Here is a 20836-nt window from a genome sequence, read left to right as displayed (position 1 = left end):
CGCCACAATGGAGACGTAGATCTGCACCACACTACAAGACTCCCTGTGCCAGCACACCCCTCCCCGCCCAACCCTGCTCCCACGCCTCCCGCTTGGCTGCTACTAATTTGTCCTCCTCTGTAATTTTGTTATTTCATGAGTGTTACATAGATGGAATCATACAGTATATCACCTTCTGAGATTGATTTTTTTAAAACTCAGCATAGGCTGGGCACAGTGGCTCACGCTTGTAATCCCAGCACTTTGGGAGGCCGAGGCAGGCAGAGTACTTGAGCTCAGGAGTTCAAGACCACCCTAGGCAACATGGTGAAACCCTGTCTCTACAACACACACACACACACACACACACACACACACACACACACACACACAATTAGCTGGGCATGGTGGTGTGTGCCTGTAATCCCAGCTATTTGGGAGGCTGAGGTGGGAGAATTGCCTGAGCCTGGGAGGTGGAGGTTGTAATGAGCCAAGATTGTACCACTGCACTCCAGTCTGGGTGACAGAGTAAGATCCTGTCTCAAAAAACAAACAAACAAACAAACAAAAAACCAAAACCCCAGCATAATGAAGGAAGGGGATTTTTAAAGGATGGCAGATACCAGAACACAATTGTTTGCTGCTGGGAAGAACAAAAGACCCAGAAAAGAGGGAGAGACAGGTGATGTTGAAAGATAATGTAATGATGGGAGGGAGCTGAATTCCTGAGGATGAGGGGTGGGTTCAGAGTCCAAGTGGAGCCATTAACCTTTAACAGCAGCGAGACCCCTCATCAGGCAGGAAGGGGGGTGCAGGCCGAAGCTGGTGGGCTTCTAGAATGTGCAGGGGCAGAGGACTGGGGTTCATATTTGCTGGCTTCTGCTTCCCCAGTGAAAACAAAGTGAGGTCTCAGTGGAGAGTGATGGGTCACATGGAGGAAGGGAGGCAGGAGGAGAGTGGAGGTGGGGCCACTGCCAGGTTGGAGAGTGGGGAGGTGAGGTGGCCGGTGGCTGGAGCTGGGACTGCTGGGCAGTGCTGGAATTGCTGCAGGTTTGGGATTCAAGCTCACAGAGGGCACAGCCTCCACGGTGGGGTCATTTCTCTAGCTGTATTTGGCCTCCCAGCTATAAGTGCCAAGATGTTGGTTGGATTCATCCAGGTTGGGGTTTTATGAAAGTACTGCTTAGGGGGAGGGGGGCAAGATATTTGAGCATCCATTATGCTGATGGACCATGGAACTCAAGCTCACCAAGGGCAGTGAGGGCGGAAGGGCAGTGATGGAAGGTGAGGTGCGAAGGTCTCGGTGCAGTGAGGATTGTAAGGAGAGGAGCTGGAGGGCCAGCTGGGAGGTTTGACCAGGAGCCATGGTGGTGACAGGGCCAGGGTGTGGCCTGGGATAGAGGCTGCAGGGAATGGCAGCTGAAGGTGACTGGAAGCAGGCAGTAGGGGCACCCCCAGCATGGGGAAGTCACCTAGAAGGATGCAAGGGTTGAGGTGCAGGGCAGGACAGACAGGAGCCCTCTGTGGGTGAGGGGAAGTGGCCAGGAAGTTCGAAGGCAGAGGGAGGCACAGCCACCTCTTAGGTCCCACAGGGACAGAACCACTGTAGATGGGAGGAATCTGGACCTGAGGTCTAGAAGAGCCCCGAGGAGCAGGGAGCACATCAGCCTGCCCTGGCCGAGCAGAAATCATCTGCAGAATGTCGCTGTGTGCCCCCCCCTCAGAGGAGAGAACAGAGGCCTAGAGAGGGTAAGCACGTTTCAGAAGGAACAAGCTCCGCTGAAGCGTTCAGAGGGTCTGCTTGAAAGTCAGTGGTGTGGTGGAGGCTGGATTCCAGAGCCGCCTGTTGCCTAGGTTTCAGTACTGCCTCCTCCAACTTTTCTGGGCCTTTCTTCATTTGTGAAATAGAGCAGAATGACAGTACATACTCCCAAGGTGGATGTGAGGATTGAGTTTTAATGCACGCATCCTGTGAATCCTCGGGCTAACCCTGTTTACAGATAGGGAACCTGAGGCTTAGAGAGAGGAATTGACTTGTCCAAGCCTCAGTGTTCCTCAGCCTCCCTGTCTTTGCCCCAGGGCTGCCATCTTTACCAACACTCATTCAGCAGCCTCATGAAGGAAGCAGGATGCAGGCCTCAGGCCTACTTGGAAGTTGGGGAAACAGGGCAGGAAGGTGTCTTCTCTCCCTGTGGCCCCCAGAGTGTCAAAGGAGGATGGAATCTTCGTTATCGGCCAGTCTTCAATGTCGGGGACACAGAGGTGACACAGGCACCATGCCTCTCTTTAAGCCACAGTCTCATAGGGGAGACAGGACAAAATAATAAGCAAATATAGTAATGTTAAACAGTGGAACATAGGGCAAGAAGCAATTGTTCAAGGAAACAGGGATTTGGGGCTGAAATTCTTGGGGAAGAAGAGAAAGATCCAGGGACTGTGGTGGCAAAGGAGGAGCAAGGGTTGAGCTGGGTTTTGAAGGGAGGTGCGAGTTTAATGAAATGGATCAGAGAGGGGACATTCTGGAGGGGAAGAAGGGAGGGCTCTGGGTGAGCAAAGGCTCAGAGAGGGGGCTGGGGAAGAAGGTGCCCCACTGGAACAGAAGAGGCAGAAAGCAAGGCCGTGCGGGCTGCCTCCTGCAGACGTCTCAATCTTCTCCCAAGAATGGTGAACCAGAGGCCCCTGAGGCCTGTGAACAGATGCCAACAGCGGGAAATTGGCCAGTGGATCCTCCATGGCCTGGCACCATCAAAGCTGCCAAGAGCAGAGAGGCCCTGCAATCTGGGGGCCTGGCGGCCCGGCACGGTTGGCCAGCTTGCTGTGTGACCTTGAGCAAGCATGCTCTGCTAAATGGGGCTACCCCAGCCGCCCCGTCCTCCCTCGCAGGTGGGCTGTGTGAGGTGTTCCAGCTCTGTGAAGTCTTCTTCAGCGAAACAAAAGCCAGCACCGCGGCAAAGTGAAGGAATGGAGGTGAAGGCTTTTAGCTCCCTGGCAGAGACGCCCAGCAGAAATCCAAGGCATGTCAGAAAACGGAGTTTCTGGAGAACCTTTGATTTAGAGAACAAGGTTTTGGCATCAAACTGCGATCAGAGAACAGAGGCAGCCTGCCACACCGTGAAACTGAGCTCTGTAAACCTCATTAATCTGATGTCTCTATGTTCAAAGCGGTTCTTAATTAGGAGCCGAGACTCTCTACCAGCTGGGTGGCCCATTGTTCCTGCTGGACAAGTCCCACCAGGTGACTTCAAAGCCCATTCCTCACGTCCCTCTGCCGCTCAGCGCCAATTAACCAGCATTTAGAGCTGGGCCGCCTGGGCTGGCAAGCTTGGCCATGCTCCTGCTTCATTTGGTGTCGGAGCTGAGGGGCCTCCATGAAGTTCTCCAGCAATGCAGGCAGACACGTGAAGGGTGGAGCTGAGTGCCGGGTGTTGGTGGGGGTGAGGGACAGCCCACGGCAGCCCCTGCCCCCCTGGGGTTCCAGAGGCCTGGAAGGAGCAGGAGAAGCCATAGGAGCTGCAGCTTCCCTCGGCCACCCTCTCTTCTCCCTTCCTCCTCCACGGGGACTCCTCTTCTCTGCTCCAACTCCCCTGTGCCCTTCTCAGACCCACCCTTTTGCCATCTCTTTCCATCCTCCTGAGGAGGGTCTGGGATGCCCAGTCAGAAGCCAAACTAGGTCTGGGGACACCGTGTGGGGTCTCACTGGGTGGTCTGATATGCACGGACTCAGTCCCTGATATGTTGGCTCCCACCTTCCCTGTGTTTACCCCTGCCCTTCACTGTACCAGGGCCTTGTACACCGTAGGTGCTCATCAAGGGACTGCCAGCTAGTGTAGCTTCTCCATAAGCCAAGTCATGTCTGAGAAGCTTGTGGCTCCATCAGGACAGGCACATCAAAGCAGTGGGCCTGCAGCGCCACTGGAAAGCTTCAGGAGAGAGTTGGGAAAGACCTTTCAGCAGTGATGCCACTTTCAGTCTGGAACAGCCGGGTGCAGGAAGGCTGGGTTTTTCTCTGCCTTCCAGGACGTTGAACCACAGTTGAATCTAGAGACAGAGAAGGCACAAAAGGAAGACCCAGGGCAGTGAGCCTGAACCAGCCCCAAACTGGCGGTCAGGATGCTGGGATTCCAGGCCTGCCGCTGTCCCTGACTGGCCACTTTGTGCTCTTGAGCAGGTTCTTGGCCTCAGTTTCCAAATCGGTGGGACGGGAATGATGACCCTGTCTGTATGGCTCCCTGCATACAGTGAGGTCAAATGGAAGACTAACTGAACCTGCCTTGGGAGCTGTCCAGAGTACTGGGGGCACTGGGGATGCTCCAGCTTTGCTCGCACACCTCTGGAGATGGGAGGCTCACCCCATTTTAAGGCCATTTTCCATGGCCAGATAGTTGCAGTTGTTAGAACAATTATTGTATTAGTTTTTTAGAGCTCCCGTAACAAATTACTATAAACCTGGTGGTTTAAAACAATAGAAATTACTCTCTCACAGCTCTGGAGACTGGAAGTCTGAGATCAAGGTGCAGGGCCGTGCTCTCTCTCAGGGCTCTAGGAGAGGATATTCCTGGCCTCTTCTGGCTCCTGGTGTTGCTGGCATTCCTTGGCTTGAAGATGCATCACTCCAGCCTCTGCCTCCATCTTCATGTGGCCTCCTCCCCTGAGTGTGTCTACGTCCAAGTTGACCTCTTTGTTGTTTTTGTTGAGACAGTCTCGCTCTGTCACCCAGGGTGGAGTGCAGTGGTACGATCTCTGCTCACTGCAACCTCCGCCTCCTGGGTTCAAGCAATTCTTCTGCCTTGAACCCAGTAATCTCCCGAGTAGCTGGGATTACAGGTGCCCACCACCACATCTGGCTAATTTTTGTATTGGAGACGGTTTCACCATGTTGGCCAGGCTGGTCTCGAACTCTTGACCTCAGGTGATCTGCCTGCCTTGGCCTCCCAAAGTCCCAAAGTGCTGGGATTACAGGCATGAGCCACCGCGCCCGGCCAAGTTGACTTCTTGTATAAGAACATCAGTCGTTGGATCAGGACCCACCCTATTCCAGTATGACCTCCTTGTAACTAATTACCTCTGCAAAGACCCTATTTCCAAATAAGGTCACATTCTGAGGTTCCAGATGGACATGAATTTGGGGGGACACTATTCAACCTAGTACCTTCGTTTTCCTTCTGGGCCCAGACTTCCACCCTGTGGCTTCACCCCTGTGGGTTTTCCCTTGCTCCTGACCAGCCCCAGCTCCATCAGTTTCCTCTGCCCCAACAGGGTTCCAGCCTCCCGATTCCCCACTCTGCTCTTCAGGGCACACTGGGCTGCTGGTGTCACAGAAACTTTTCTGGTAAAGTGTCTGTCCTCCTTCCCAGGGCTTGCCATCCACCCTCCTGCTCTTCTTGCCTTTTATATGTGGAAACTCGTCGCTTCACTCCAGGACTCAGCCTGGGTCCCAACAATTACCAGCTTCCTTGATGTCTAACACTATAAACCCATTCACCTCATTATAGGAAATTTCTTTTGAATGTCCTTTAAAAACCATCTCATTACACAGGAAGAACTGTAATTACCTTGTGCAAGACAGAAATTCTGGGCAAGCTGGTGCCTGGTGCCTGTCAAAACTGTGGGACAGGGTTCCCCGCTGGCTGGTTTGGCCATAGGAGAGAGCTCTTTCTTTCTCTCATCTCATCCTTTCCAGCCCCTTTTCTTCTGGGACCCGTGGTCACCCATGTCTCTGTTGGTGGCCCTAGAAGGTCAAGACCTCCCACAGAGAATAGAACCACCTTGGATTGGTGCCTGTGCTCCTGCCTGGCATCCTGGCAAACCCTGATGGTCAGAGCCTTCCCCAGGGGTTCTCAAGGGCTGCCCAGCCTCTTCCTGAGTCTGCCCTCCTGGAGGCTGCTGGAGCTTGCCCAGTGGTTGCAGAACGTCACAGCTGGGTGGGACTCTGGAGGCCAATAGGTTCAGCCTCCTGCCCTCAGCCACTTGTCCAGTCCTTTTGCCCAGCAGCCTCTGGGGAACCGTAGCCCTTCCTGGGACCAGGGTTTTTCCCTGACCTGTTTAGGGGATTTTCTTGATGTCTGGCTAAAATCCCTGGTGCCCCAGTTCTGACCTGATTTTAAGCTCCATCTCTTGCTGGCGGTGCCACCTTGGGCAAGCCATGTGGCCATTCTGAGCTGTTTTCTCATCTGCAGAATGGTTGGGATCATTTGTGCTTCAAGAGTCATGGTGAGTAGGGTCTGTGGCCACAGGCCTCAGGTGCCCATCATTGGGCATGTAGCAGGAAGTGAACCTACATTGCTTCTACTTTCCAGGGGAGCTTGACCGTGGAGACCCTTTTCTTTCTCCTCTCTGCCTAATGTGGGGTGGAGCAGACTTCCATTTGGACTTCTCCTCCTCCTCCCCACCATTTCTCCCTCTTTCTTCTCCCTCTCTCTCTCCTGGAGCATCAGAAGACATGGCACATCCTGTTCCCCTCCAGCATCCCTGCCTGCAGCCTGCAGCCTGCCACCTGCTGAGGCAATTTGTTTCGAGAACACCCAGCTGCTGGCATGGTCTCAGTAGTTGCAGGTCCTTCTCTGCTCAGTCCCTAGCTGTACTGTCTTCTACAGGGAATCCGTGTGGCATCCTGGCACAGCCACAGCCATGGGCATTGCCCACGGAGGCAGAACCATGCCTACCCATGTGTCTCTCCTGCCAGCATCTCCTCTGGGACTCTGGCTATAGCTTCTGGATCTGGCTGGGGAAGCAGAGAGGGTAGAGTCTCTGGTCTGCTCCTCAGCAGGGATTCCTGCTTCTTGAGGACCTGCTATGTTCTGGGCTCTGTGCTAGGGGCTAGGCATACAGTGAGCAAGGCAGCCATGGCCCCTTTCCGAGTGAGGCTCACAGTTCTTCTTGGGGTCAGGATGGGCTTCTGGCATACTGAGACTGGGCAGTCTGGGAGGGCTTCTCTGAGGAGGCGTCTTATCCCATTATCAGATGGATAAGAAGGAGCTGTGTGCAAGGAGCAGGAAGAGCATTCCATGTCCTGGAGAACCTTGGTGTGTTCAGGAGCTGGAAGGAAACTTGTGGGGTAACAGGAAGAGAACCAGAGGAGGTGGGGCTGGGTAGGTGGTCAGGGCTGGGTCAGACAGAGCCTGAGGCCAATAGTGAGGAGGGTGGGTGGGTTTTGGTCTAAGAGAAAGAGGAAGTTGCTGGAGGGTTTTAAGCAGGGAAGGGACCTAATCTAACTTAGGGTTCAACAGTGCTGCCCTGGCTGCTGGATGAAGAGCAGAGGGACACAGGGACACAGAAGAGTAAGGTGGGCCACTCCAGGGGGTCTGGCAGGCCGTGGTGGGCCTGGCCCAGGACAGGTGCCGGGTTGGGTGGGGATATCACAGGGAGGCGAGGTTTCTGGTTTGGGCAGCTGGGTTGATGGTGGAGATGTTTGCTGAGGCAGGAGCCCTGGAGAAGGAGTGGTTTGGGGACGAGGAACGATGAGGTGTTTATGGGACATCAAGGGGAGATGGTGAGGATATCAGGATCTTAGTTGTGACAACAATGGGATTTATATGTTATTATCCCCATCTTACAGACAAGGGATCCAAAGCTTAGAAAGGTAAAGTGCGGCCCACCCCGGGCCACACAGCTGGCAGCACTCCAAGCCAGGGTGGGACCCAGAGCTGTTGGCCCCCATCTCAGCTTGCATTTGAGAAGAGCAGTGCTTTGCCCCACAGGGTGAATGACTGGTGGGATTTCAGGCATCAGTGGGCCCCTCACCTCCATTGTGACCGTGGTGGTCTTCACCTGGGGCTGTGTCTGGAGTCAGTGGCTGACTCTCCCCTAGGACACACAGCCCAGAAGGCCTCAGCCACCCTGCAAGCCTGGGAACAGCTCAGCCCCTTGGCACCATTGTGCCTGAGAGGATCCAGAATATCCCGTTGTTCAGCCTGAGAAGAAGTAAAAAATTAGCTCCAAGTCAGGGCTTTCCGAGCGTGGCAGTGCCCAGGACAGGGTGGCTCCCCGAGGCTTTGCCAGCCCCTGCCACCTCACCTTCTTGGTCTTGGGAGGGTGCTTGGCACTTGCCTGTCCCCACCACAGGGGCCCTCCTCTGCCAGCTGGGCGGTGGGGGCACTGAGAGGAGGGAAACCCCTAGGCAGCCAGAGGACTGGGTAGAAAGAGCCCTGGACCAGGACGGGAGCCCTGGGGCCACCACGCACCTCCCAGTGACCTCAGTGTCTCCCCTTGGACAGTGAGCCCCGGGAACGAGTGAGGCATAGCACCCTTTCCTTCCGGCATTCCAGGAATCCCACCTTCCTATCTTCTGAGGTGGGAGCCAAGGAGCATCTCCAGGGCTTGGGTTGTGGAGTTGTGGTCAGGGAATAAAACTGGTCGGGGAACCTGGAAAGCAAGGTCCAGGGTGCTGGAAGTGGACTGGTGTGTGTGTGTGTGTGTGTGTGTGTGTGTGTCATGGCAGGGGGAGGGGGGTATCTTCAGGCAGAGGCCAGTGGCATGAGGGAAGGTGTGGGGAGGGTGTGGACTGGGAACAAGAAGGATGGGCCCACAGGTTCCCCGTGCCCCTGCCAGGGATGAGCCGGCTTATATGACAGAAGATTAACCCAGCAACTTCTCCACAAGGAGATGGGAGCCTGGCCACCCTCCCTAGGGCCTAGACCATGACACTGGTCTCTGGTGCAAACTGGGCATGGTGGCTGGTGACTGTCAGGGCTATGTGCAACCAGGGTCAGGATTTACACTGTGGGGCCAGAGACAGGGTTCAGGGTGGGACCAGGGCTCAGTGTGTGCACAGTCAGGGCTCAGTATGTATGCAGGGTCAGAACACAGTCTATGACTGGTGTTAGGGCTTGCACTGTGTGACCATTGCTTAATGTGTCAAGGGTTAGAGTGTGTGACCAGGGTCGGGGCTCAGGGTATGACCAGGGTCCGAGCCCAGTCTGTGACTAGGCTCGGGGCTCAGTGTCTGACCAGGGTCAGGGCCCAGTGTGTGGCCAGGGTCAGAGCTCAGCTTGTGACCAGGGTCGGGGTTCAGTGTCTGACCAGGGTCAGAGCTCAGTGTGTGACCAGGGTTGGGGCTCAGTGTGTGGCCAGGGTTGGGGCTCAGCGTGTGATCAGTGTCAGGACTCAGTCTGTGACCAGGGTCAGAGCTCAGTGTCTGACCAGAGTCGGGACTCAGTGTCTGACCAGGGTCGGGATTCAGTGTGTGGCCAGGGTTGGGGTTCAATCTGTGATCAGGGTCGGGGTTCAGTATGTGACCAGCGTCGGGGCTTAATGTGTGGCCATGGTTGGAGCTCAGCATAGTGCTCTATGTGTAGCCTCAGGGGCAGATTGGAGGCCCTGCCTCATCCACACTCCCTCTGAGCTCTCTGCTTGTCTCTCCCATGGGGCCTGTTAGTCAAGTGCTCAAGACTGATGCCACCTCTCTGAGCCCTGATGAGCAGAAGCTTGAATGGTCGTAGCTTCTGCAGATCCTTCAGAACTTGCCATGTGTGAGGCACCCTGTGGACTGATGGTGGGTATTATTGCCCTCATCTTACAGGATGATGAGGAAACTGGAACTCAAAAGATAAAGTGTCTTTCTGAGGTCACAGCTAGTTAAGTGGGAGAGCCCGGACTCAAACTCCTTGTCCCTTTATTCCTTTTCAGGGTCCCTCAGCATTTCTCCCTGGGGTAGAGGGACCTTTGGCAGAGCTCTCTTCCTATGGGTCCCCCATAGAATCTTCTTCCTCTTTCTGCCTAGACTGGGGACTGTGAGTTCAGCCTTACTTAAGCCAAAACTTCCTAGGAAGGCCAACTAGGCCTGAGGATGGACAAGGAGACCTTCCTGCAAGGTCTGAGGCATGCAGGCAGGTCCTGTCACCAGCAGCTGGGGACTGGGCATAGCCTGTCTGTAGGGTCCCATAAACCCCAAGGATCGGGCTTCTCTGTTAGAGATTAAAGGAATGTGTCAGCCCCATTGGAGGCATTTTGAGCATTGTGGTCCTGGATTTTGGAGCTCTGGAGGGTCCTTCCCAGCATCCCTGACATCACCCCACAAGCATTTCTTCCTTTGCTTCCAGGAAGTGGTGGGAAGATTGCCACCCCTCCTGCTGTAGGCCTGGACACCTTATGTTGCAGATGAGGTTCAGAGAAGGGAAAGACACTTGTTCCAAGACACAAAGTGTGTTAGTAGTGGAGGGGCCCAGAACCCTACCTCCCACTGCCAATATTCCTAGGTGTTCCCTCCTCCTGGCTCAAAACCCTCGTAGGAACTGAAAACCCACGAGGACACGAAACAATCACGTTCTAAGAGTGGGACTCTAGGCACTATACCAGCTGTTCTCTTGGGCCTTCCTGACATTTCTCAGTTACAAGAATCCCCCCATTTGTGAGTCATTTGGAAAATTTCATGGGGGAACTGGTCCAGAATTTAAGTGAAGTTCCAGGAGGAAGGGACTCAGGGAGAGTTGGAAGGAGGCCCCTGCTGACATGAAGAAGGAGTAGCCCCTTGCCGTGGCTTATCTGCGAGCCTGCGAGATGGACAGAGCAGTTTGCTTCACAGCTGGGGGATCTGAAGCTCAGTAAGGCAAAGCAATGTGCTCAGCAGTTCCCAGCTCAGTTCTCATTCACATCTGCCTGGTCCAAAGCCAGTGGGTTCTCTCCAGTCCCCTCTGTGTGGCCGGACTGTGTCACAGAAAGAAGGAAAGAGACTGTTGCCTGCCCTCCAGGAGCTGCTGGGAGAATGAGATTTAAGTCAGAAGAAGTATTAGGGAGCAAGAGCTGCATTGTTGAAGTCTCAGTGCTGTATGGCACAGAACACAGCCATGCCGCTGAAGCTGCTGGGAAAAGCTGGGTGGAGTTTAGATAGGATCAGGGATTGGGAAGAGCAAGCTTAGCCATTGGTGTGTGTGTGTGTAGCCCAGGCAGACTGGAGGTAGTCAGGTAGTCAGGAAGGCAGCTGTCCGGGGTGCTGAACCAAACCACCACCATGGGGCCGGTCTGCAACTCTTTCTGGCCACTTTGGTCTGAGCCTCAGTTTCCTTACCTAGAGAATTAGAATACTGATACCTGCATCACGGTCTCATTGAGAGGGTGCAGGAAGGCCATGGCATGTTGTGCTGAGCATGCAGCCTGTGTTTTGTTGAGGCTTTCCAAATGGGAACACCAACTGAAGGAGGCAAAGCCTCCTCCCCAGGCCCCTGGGGTGGAGGGTGGGGTCATCTGTGATACCTGACCCCAGGCACATGATCCCTCAGGAATGGCAGGTGCTGTAACAGGGTCAGCACTTCCCCTTGGCATGGGGAGAGGCAGCTTGTCTGGAGCCTTTCCACCCGCCTGATGCAGGTGTCCCCCAGCCTGTAGGCCTGGACACTTCATGTTGCAGACAGGATGACTAGGAACCAGAGAGGGCAAGACACTTGAGCCAAGAAACAGTGTGTTAGTGGAGGATGGGGTAGAGCCCCACAGCCCTACCATCCACTGCCAATATTCCTAGTTGTTGCCTCTCCCAGGTGCAAAAGCCTTGGGGGAACTAAACACCTTGGAGCACCCAAAGGAATGAAGCTCTAGTGTGGGCCTTCAGGCACCATCTGTGACACCTGTTCTCTTGGGCCTCCCTGACACCCTCTACTAGCCTCAGCCCCCAGGTGGCTTGGGTCCTAGCTCTCAGCTGGGCCTTCATCTCTCTTAAACCACACCCCCAAACTCCTGGCCCCATGCAAGCTCTCTTAGTCCGTTTGTGTGTTACTCTAAAGGAATACCTGAGGCTGAGTAATTTATAAAGAAAAGGAGTATGTTTGGGTCATGGTTCTGCAGGCCGTACAAGCATGGTGCTGGCATCTGCATCAGGGGAGGGGGCCTCAGGGAGCTTCCACTCGTGCCAGAGAGCAAAGGGGAGCTGGCATCGCATGACAAGAGAAAGGAAGTGAGGGAGCCATGGGTGGAGGGAGGTGCCAGGCTCTTTTTAACAATCAGTTCTCATGGGAACTAATAGAGTGAGAACTTGTTACTCGTTAGAGGGCGAGAAGGGCACCAAGCCATTCATAAATGATCTGCCCCTATGACCCAAACATCTTCCACCAGGCCCCACCTCCAACACAGGAGGTCACATTTCAGCATGCTATTTGGAGGCGACAGACACCCAAACTATATCACAAGCCTTCTCAGGCCTCTTGATCAACTTGGGGCCTCCGGGGTTCCCACCCCGCCAGGGAGGTGGGATGCTTTGGGGCAGGAATTTGGTGGGTATAGAGCTGCTGGAAGCCAAAGAAGAGACCTCTCTCACTCTCCTTTGCCTCTTTTCTCCTCATCTCCTCAGGCTGCCAGACCACCTTGGCCCTGGGCTTGGGATGACCTGCAGCCACTGAGAGGAGAGCCAGGAAGGGTTCCCCCAAAAAGACCCCCCAGGCCTGTTGGTTATGTTTGAGATGCACCCAATTCCTGTGTCATTCACCTTTCAGCCTTTGGCATCTCCTTGTCCTTTAGAACCAGACAGTGCTAAGTGTGCATCCCAGCTCTGTCATTTCCCCTGACCTTGGGCAAGGGACATATGCCTCAGAGCCTCAGTTTCTTCATTTGTCAAGTGGGAATAAGAACACCTATCCCACAGTGTGTGGTTTCAGTGTAGGAGTGCACATAGCAGGGGACACTGCCGCTTTCCTCCTGCCCCTGGTCCCTCTTCCATGGTGATGCTGGCCTCCCACCCACTCCTGCCTGTTTAGACCAAGAGCTGAAGCCTGGTCCGTGGGTGAGGTTGTCCTGTGGAAGACAGGAAGGGAGAGGCTGCGGGTAGCAGGCCGCACATAGCACCAGTGTTTTTAACACTGTGAGGGGACCAAGCTGAGCTGCTGCAGCCATCTGCAACCCCTGACCTTGCTGGCTCTGGCTTGGTTCTGGAAGATTCCCTCCCCTACCCGCCCCTGCTCACCCAGGTTTAGCAGGAGCAGCTACTTGCAGTGATGTGAAAAACACTTGGAGTAATACAACTCGGAGACTTTGACCACTGGTAACACCGACCCCACCTACCACCCCGCCTGCAGCTGGCCCAAGGCTCGGGCCCCAGTCACCTCCTCCACCAGCCAGTCCAGCCAAACTAAGAGTTAGGAGGGTCAGGTTTGGCTTCAGCTCTGCCTCCATTTGTCTGAGTACTCACACAGAGCCTGGCACAGGGTATGTGCCCGAAACGCTTTAACTATTAGTAGTGGTAGTAGTAAGAGTTGTTGTCATCATAGTAGAGAAATCCCATTTCACAGAGGGGCTAGGTGAGGCCCACACAGTTGAAAAGCTGCCACCTCTGTGAAATCTTCCCAGCTCTGCCCCTTCTCCCAGAGTAGGCAACTTCTTTTGACTTTTTTCAGTTTCTCTGCAATGCTCTTATTAGGGGAGAGCTTGGTAGACAGTGGGATAGATTCCAAGGTAGGGAGAGGTGTGTTGGGGGGAGGAGCTCTCAGGGCTGAAGGTGCCCTGAGGAGGCCGGGAGCAGGTTTGATGGGCAGGAGGCCAATCTGCCAAGGGACCCTCTACCTGGGAGTGCCCTGCCCTCAGCCCTCCCCTCTGCTGGTTCCCCAGCCACCTCCTGAAACCCTGAGAATGCTAACGTGTGTGGTGACAGCAGGGCCTCTACCATCCCTGTTACTTTGGCCTCTGCTGACTCCTTCCTTGCACCCTGAGGCATCTGTCAAGTCCTCCTTCCTCTCAGCCCCTTCCCTACTGGGTCCAATGGGCAGAATTCTGACCTGATCACATTGCTAACAGCTGGTTAGCAGGTAAACTTAGCCCATAAAGTTAATTGAGCACTTAGTGTGTTTGAGACACTGGGGATGCTGAGGACTGGGCTGTAAGGGGCCCTGCCACCAGGGAGGTAGAGGGGGGGAATGATGGTTAGTATGTGCTTACTGTGTGCAGGTGATGGTTAGTATGTGCTTATTGTGTGTGGGAATGATGGTTAGTATGTGCTTACTGTGTGCAGATGATGGTTAGTATGTGCTTACTGTATGCAGATGATGGTTAGTATGTGTTTAGTTTGTGCAGATGATGGTTAGTATGTGTTTACTGTGTGCGGGGATGGTTAGTATGTGCTTTACTGTGTGCAGGGATGGTTAGTATGCACTTACTGTGTGTGGGGATAATAGTATGTGCTTATTGTGTGTGGAGATGATGGTTAGTATGTGCTTACTGTGTGCAGGTGGTGGTTAGTATGTGTTTACTATGTGGGGATGGTTTGTATGCACTTACTGTGTGTGGGGATGATGGTTAGTATGTGCTTATTGTGTGCTGATGATGGTTAGTATGCACTTACTGTGTGCGGGGGATGATGGTTAGTATGTATTTACTGTGTGTAGGGATGACGGTTAGTATGCACTTACTGTGTGCAGGGTCTGGGCTCGTGCTTTCCTGACCATCGGTGAGGTTGGAGCCACCCCAGTTTGCTAATGAAGAGAGTGGGGCCCAGGGAAACGAGGGGACTACCAAGGTCCTCAGCAGCGAATGCTAATGTTGGGGGTAGATAGGGCTGGACTTGGGGGAAATGGAGAGGAGGAGTTGACCAGCAGCTCCTGTCGTGGCAGCGTGAGTGAGCTCAGGAGGCAGTCAGGCTGCCCTTGGCCTTTCCTGACACATCCCTGGACCCTTAGGAGCCACCTCTGAGGAAGGTCTTCCTTCTCTCGGCTCCGTAGCCTCCTATTGAGCACAGAGCAGCCTAAGGCCACTGCACGGGGCACCCACTAGGGCAGTCCAGGGGCCTGCTCTTGTCCGCAGGGACTCAGGGACTCTGCCTGCACGTCTCCCCTCTCACTGCAGGCACTTTCAAAAAGGCAGCCCTGCTCCCGATCCTCCTGCTGTGCCCACCCGACCCTTCTCACCCTCTGGCCCTGCCCACAGTCCGCTGGGCCTAATGGCCCTGCCATTCCTGATCTCTGTCCCCTCACCCTTTCCAGCCTCCAGCCCATGAAGGTCAGCCTCTCCCAGCGACTGTGCCTCCTTCCACCCCACTATGTCTCTCTGGTTTCCCATTCCCGCCTTGGAGGAAGAGGTGCTTCTCCTCCAGACTGAGGCTCATCCCTGCCCCGGAGGACCATGAGCCAGCCCCACTGTCAGGCATTCCCTTTCCACAGCTCCTGCCTGGTGTGTGACCCCGCCCCTTCCCCAACTACACGGGGCATCGGGGTTCCCAAACCAGTAGTAGGTCCTGGTCACTCCTGTAGAACTTGGGCAGCGTCTGTGAGTCTTAGTTTTTCCTTCTGTTGGGTGGGCCAGAATGGTGCCTGGAACGTAGTAGGCACTCAACACATGCTTGTTGAATTAATGAACTAAGTAAGCAGTGAATTCCTGGCCTGGCTGCCTCACCTGAGTGTTGTGCAGATCAAAGTAACTAATGGATTTTTTACAGAGTTAAAGATGCTGTTTGGACAGAAGGCGTGGGGGATGCTCAGTGGGACGCTGGCACTGTGGATTGTAACTGCCGTCCTCACTTTGCAGTTTCTGCCTCCCAGAACCCTCCCTCATCCGCCCTCCTCTATATTGCTGTACCCCACCTCTCCCCTGGCCACTGCCTCATTCCTAACTCACTTCCTCCTGTCCTTCCGCCTGCCTGAAATCCATCCTCCCCCAGGTGGCGGCTGCAATGATCTTTCTGAAGCACGAATCCAGACTCTGGGTACTCCCCACTTAGAACTTCAAGCTCCTGCTGGCTCCTAGGATGAGAGCTCCATCCCTCTTGGTGCCTACTAGGCCCTGCCTGAAGGAGGGGGCTTTCTCCCTCTCCAGACACTGGGCCTTGTCACTGGTGCAGTCTGCGGTGCCCTTCCCCACTGCTTCCAAGCCCAACTCGTTTTCCTTTAATACCCCTTCAAAGATCCTTTCATCCCGGAAGCCTTTCCCAAACCGCAGCCCTGGATCAGATGCCCACTACCCTGTTTCCACAGCCCCTCAGGCTCCCGCTTTCACACAGCACCCGAGTTGTCATCTCTCACCTTCCTGTGCTCCACCCCACACCCTGCTCAGGGTGTTTGTACCCTTAATTCACAGAAAGCATTAGAGGGCATTTGCTGAATGAATGAGTGAATGAATGAGTGAATGAATGAGTGAACTGGCAGCTCCCCCAGGCTGTGGGAACTCTGGGCTGGACCTTTGGGCCTACTGAGGGGAGTGGGTAACACAGCATGCCTCTGACCTGTCCTGGAGTTGGCCTCCTTTCTGTGTGTCCTACTGGGCTCTAGGCGTCTTACCCTGGAATTGTCCCCACCCGCAGGCCCTGCAACAGCAGTGGCTGCATCTGCAGCAAGGGGTTTTGAACCATTCCAGGGATTTACTACAGGTTGAGGGTGGCATAGGAGCCCTGAGAACAGAGCCTGGGGTCTGCAGAACCTTGTCACCTTGTGCCCTGATCCCCACCCTGCCACCATCATCTGACACACGTACAGGTCAGTTCTGCCCCCGCCTGACCCCGAAGACCTTTCCTGGCCTGAGCTGCTCCAGCCCCTACACAGCCCTGCACCAGGAACCTGGCACTGAGCCCCGGCTCTATTGCCCAGGCTGGAGTGCAGTGGCATGATCACAGCTCACGGCAGCCTTAAGCTCCTGCCCTCCTCTCTGCTCCTCTGACCTGGCCCCAAGCCCTGCCTTGTGCCTTAGCCAGTCCTGCTGATGGTCCAGCTATTACCCTGCTCTCGCAGACCCCTGTCCTGGGATTTCTGGCTTCCTGGCCCGGCTGCCCTGGTGCTGACCACCTTCCCATGAGTGTCACCCATCTGTGGGCCCCGCCCATGCCTGTGGTGCCACCCTAACCCCTGACTCTAAGCCTGCAAATTGGGGCAGGCCCCGGTACCCAGTCCTGAGTGTGTGGGTGGGGGTTGGGAAGATGAAGAGGGGTCGGTTCTGCTCAGGGGAGTCTCCTAAAACTGAAGCTCCTACTCAGCCACTGGAAACGGAGGGCCCGGAGGTGGGGTTCTGGCTGTAGGTGCCCAGGGTGTGAGACACCCAGAGATAGGGGGCAGGGAGGGTTTCCTGGAGGAGGTGGTGGTGCCCTGGGTGAGCCAGTGAGGATGAGGAGGATAGGGGGGCCCTCCGCGGTGGGCAGAGCAGGCTGTCCACTCTGTGCTGGGCTCCATGCCAGCTTCGCGCTCACCCCCGGCACAGCCAGCCTTCGGGCGGGTATTATTAGCTCCATCTAAGAGACAGGAAGACGGAGATTCCAAGAGGCTCAGGGACTTGCCCGGGGTCACCTGGCTGACCAGTGGCCTTGTCAGGCCTCCACCCAGGTCTGGCATCATTCCAGGCTCTTATGGAGGGAGTAAGAGGAGAGTCCGGGGTGGAGGGAAGGGAGGCGGGCACCCGCCACAAACATCAAAGCAGCTGCTGGCTGTGACTCTCCAGGGTGGGGGTGTGGGACGGGGTTGGCTTTCTGAGTCGGTCCTGCTCCCCCCTCCCCACCGTGGGAGAGCCCTCACGATGCGAGGTTCCCACCGCCCCCTCCCTGGAGAGGCCGGCAGTTTGCCTCTTCAGAGGATAATTCCCCATTATACAGAGATATTTAGCCTAATAGAAGCCGACAGATCATTCAGGGCAGTAATGTACTCCGGCTTCAAGCGTGTAGTTTCCTCAGCCTGAACTCCCAGATTAAAGGCTCCTTGCCCAGCCCGCCCTGTGCCGGTGCCTGTGACCTTGACTGCAATGATGGGGTAGGTTTCTCCCTTCCTCCTTCCCTCCTCCTCCCTTGCCAGTTTCCTCCTCCCTCCGTTTCTCTCTCTTGAAAAAAAAAAAAAAAAAGATATTTTTCTTCTAAAATGTTCAGTGGAAAGGCTGTTGCTTAAACCTTGCATGCTCTGGGGACAGGCTGATGGTGCTGGGCTGCCAGCCGGCCTCGGGAACACCTGGCTGGCCCAGAGCTCAGCCACAGATCGGCCGGCATGGTGGGCAGCCTGGGTGGCTGGACACTCCAGCCAGGCTGGGGCAGGGGGAGGCTGGGCAGATGGCCTTGCCCAGGGCCAGAGCTGGCCCCTCTACTCCCTCAACCCATTTCCCTGCCCCAGAGCTGGCCCACAGGGCCTGACCTGGGGCCTTCAACGAGTGGGGGATGCCTTTAATGATTGGGGAGCACTCTCAATGATTGGGGGCTCCTTGGGCCTGGGCATCTGGGGATGAGCCCAGGGAACACTAGTGGCTAGATCTGAGGGGCAGATGGCACCAGGGTGGCCTTGCGGGCCTTGCGTTGATCAGGAGGGTGGCTTCCAGAGCTGCCTTCTTCTGGCCCCTGCAGGGTTCCCATGTCCATTCAGCTGTCTCTGCTGCTCTCTTTATCCTTTCTTTGTGTCGCCTTCTCCCTCCCACCCCATAACTGCTGCCTCTCTCTGCCACCCCCTGCCCACCCCATCTGCTCACCGGGCTGCCTCTTCGAACTGCCTGGCACTTCCACGAGGCAGCAGGGAGCAGGGGACAGCACCGGACCTTTGGAATCAGTCGGCCCTGGGTTCAAATTCTGGCTCCAGCACTTACAAGCTGTTTCTTTCCATTTAATATTTTCAATTTGGACAAGTTCTTTAATCTCTCCCAGCTTTCACTGCCTCACCTGAAAAGTGAGATGCTCCCACTTGGCCCTCAAGACTATCCTGGGGTCTGTCAGGGCAAACTGCTGGTCAAAAATTAAAAAAAAAAGATTATCCCGAGTGTTCAGTGTATGATGTAGTGCCAGTGGGTGGCAGCTTCCCCACCTGGCAATCCCAGGCCCCCCGGGGAGACCCCACCTCCTGACACTCCTACCTGCCCAGGTGCCCTCTCTGCCTGTCTGGTAGGAAAGGGGAAGGTGGTCAGAAGGTGGTCAGGTGGGCTCTGGTTGCCCCTGGCCCACAGCAGCTGTAGGTGTGGGGTAAGAACGACGCCTCGTGGGAGGGACCCTACTTTATTTCATTTCTGGGCAAAGCCTAGTATTTGGTACTGGTCTAATTTGAAGGGACCAACTTAAGGGGCTGTGGCAAAACCACCAGGGGTAAAGGGGGACAGAGTGGAGGATCAGGGCCTGTGTAACCAGGGAGGAAATCTTCTAGGCTGAGACCCCCTCTCAAGTTTTGGGGCAGAGGGCAAAGAGTGCCTCTAACCTCCAGGGATGGGAGTCTTGGCAGCTGGATGGAAGCCTGGGTGGAGTGGGGAGATTCCTGCGTCTTCCAGGGCAGGGGTGGTGGGGTGACTACTGGGGATGAGGGAGGAGAAGGTCCCTAGGTGTGAGGCCACAGAGGGTGTGAGGCCACGGAGAATCTGAGGCTGATGTGCTGTGGAACCCTGGGCTGATCCCACTCCCTCTCTGGGCCTGTTTCCTCATCTGTTAGACTGGGCTGATCATGCTGCCCTATCTGCCTCACAGTGTGGGCTGCAGATCCAGGTAGAGAATCGGTGGGAGCGTTCTGTGATCTGTGAAGTCCTAATAATAATAATAACTATTATGCTGGACGTTACCTTGCCTTCCCTTGACTCTCTGTAACACCCGCTTCAGTCCGTGCAATCTAGCCCTGATTCATGTATTGACAGAATTGAAGAAGCTCATGGCAGAAATCAACCTCCCCTTTTAGTGCAAATCCCCACCCAACACACATGGTCCCCAGACCTCTGCTTGCATACCTCCAGGGACAGGAGACTCACTGCTTCTCATGCTGAACAGAGATCTGTTTCCCTGGAATCTTTTCTCCTTAGGCCTAGCTCTGCTCTCTGGACACACACATGCCAAGTCTGTTCATTAGGGACCGGAAGTCCTGATCAGGCCCCCGAGGTTTCTTGAGGGGTGGGGTCTGGTTGTGAAAGCAGTCCTTGTCTATGGTAGAAGCTCCACGAGTCTTCCTTCATTACTCTCCTTTTCTTACCTCCACCCCCTCACATCCAGCTGATCAGCCAGCTGGTTCTGCCACAACACACTGCCCGAATCTGTTTCCTCCCTCTCTGTGCCATCACCCTGGCTAAGCCTGTCTTCTTGTCCTTGGGCGATTGTGACACTGGTCCTCTGCCCCAGGCCTGATCCCCTTGAGTTCAATCTCCACTTGGCAGCTCCAGAGAACTCTTAACAATGAAGAAAACATCATAGCACTTACCTGGTTAAAACCCTCCAGTTACTTTTCATTGCATTTGGGATGAAATCCAAAGCCCTTACCCTGGCCCTCAGGGCCCCAGCCTCCCTCTGCAGCTTCATTTCCCATAGAATAAATTCCAATATGGCCGCTTCAGAAAGACCTTCCTTGCTCCTCTAGCTTGAGTAACCCACCAGCCCTAGCCCAAGTCTTCTCTTTCACATTACCAGGTTTTATGATCATTATTGCATGTCACTCTGGAATTATCTTGTTTATGTATTTGCTTATTTATTTGCTTATCATCGGTATCCCCTGTCCTCATGAGAGTACCAACCTTGTCTGTGTTGTACCCCAGTGAATCCTAGCCCCTATAATATACCTAGTATATAGTAAGTGCCGAATAAGTATTTGATGCATGAATGAAAAATAACACAGAAAACAAGAAGAAATAGCAGATGATGCCATTGTGGCTGTAGTAGCAGTTAATGATATGACAGTTTTGTGTGTGTGCGTGTGTGTGTGTGCACGCGTGCACATGGGTGTGTAAGCTGGGAATCACCTGCCCTTTTAATCACCTGGGCCTGAAGCCCTGCGTGCGTAGGAGACACACGTGTCCCTGTGGGCCATGTTCATGCACACTCATAAGCACACACACAGGCGTTTCGTGTTCAGTAGCAGTGTGACCTCTGGTGAAGTCTTTCACCTTTTGGGCCTCCGTTGCTCCACCTGTGGAATGGGGCTGGCTGGGGCTAGAGGCAGAGGCCTGGATACCATGGCGTCCTGAGGTTCAGCACTTGCTGGCGGCTGGAGCACTGCAGGCAGCAGGGGCCCTGGAGGCGGGAGGGAGCCAGGAG

At 54.9% G+C, this 20836-nt stretch overlaps 1 protein-coding gene across 13 annotated transcripts in view, besides 1 other annotated feature; it reads left to right on the top strand.

Annotated features, from left to right (window-relative positions):
- The window catches only part of LINGO1 (leucine rich repeat and Ig domain containing 1), a 207874-nt gene that overhangs the window by 107318 nt on the left and 79720 nt on the right, over positions 1–20836 (top strand). Inside the window, exon 1 of one of the 13 annotated variants that reach the window (NM_001301198.2) lies at positions 6076–6189. The exons of 10 other annotated variants lie outside the window; for them this stretch is intronic. The gene's annotated coding sequence lies outside the window, so the exon portion shown is untranslated. Of the gene's footprint in view, positions 1–6075; positions 6190–17087; positions 17193–17434; positions 17613–20836 lie in introns of those variants that run through there. 2 more of the 13 variants (NM_001301199.2, NM_001301200.2) reach the window with 2 other exon arrangements.
- Positions 1261–1799: an enhancer, noted in NCBI's record as "H3K27ac-H3K4me1 hESC enhancer chr15:78004126-78004664 (GRCh37/hg19 assembly coordinates)". NCBI's record gives its function as "activates a minimal SCP1, AML or CMV promoter by ChIP-STARR-seq in primed H9 embryonic stem cells {active_cell/tissue: H9 hESC(primed)}" and the evidence as "EXISTENCE:reporter gene assay evidence [ECO:0000049][PMID:30033119]".

Source organism: Homo sapiens, chromosome 15 (genome assembly GCF_000001405.40).
Source record: "Homo sapiens chromosome 15, GRCh38.p14 Primary Assembly".
NCBI lineage: Eukaryota > Metazoa > Chordata > Mammalia > Primates > Hominidae > Homo > Homo sapiens.
This window is presented reverse-complemented; position numbering and strand designations above follow the sequence as displayed.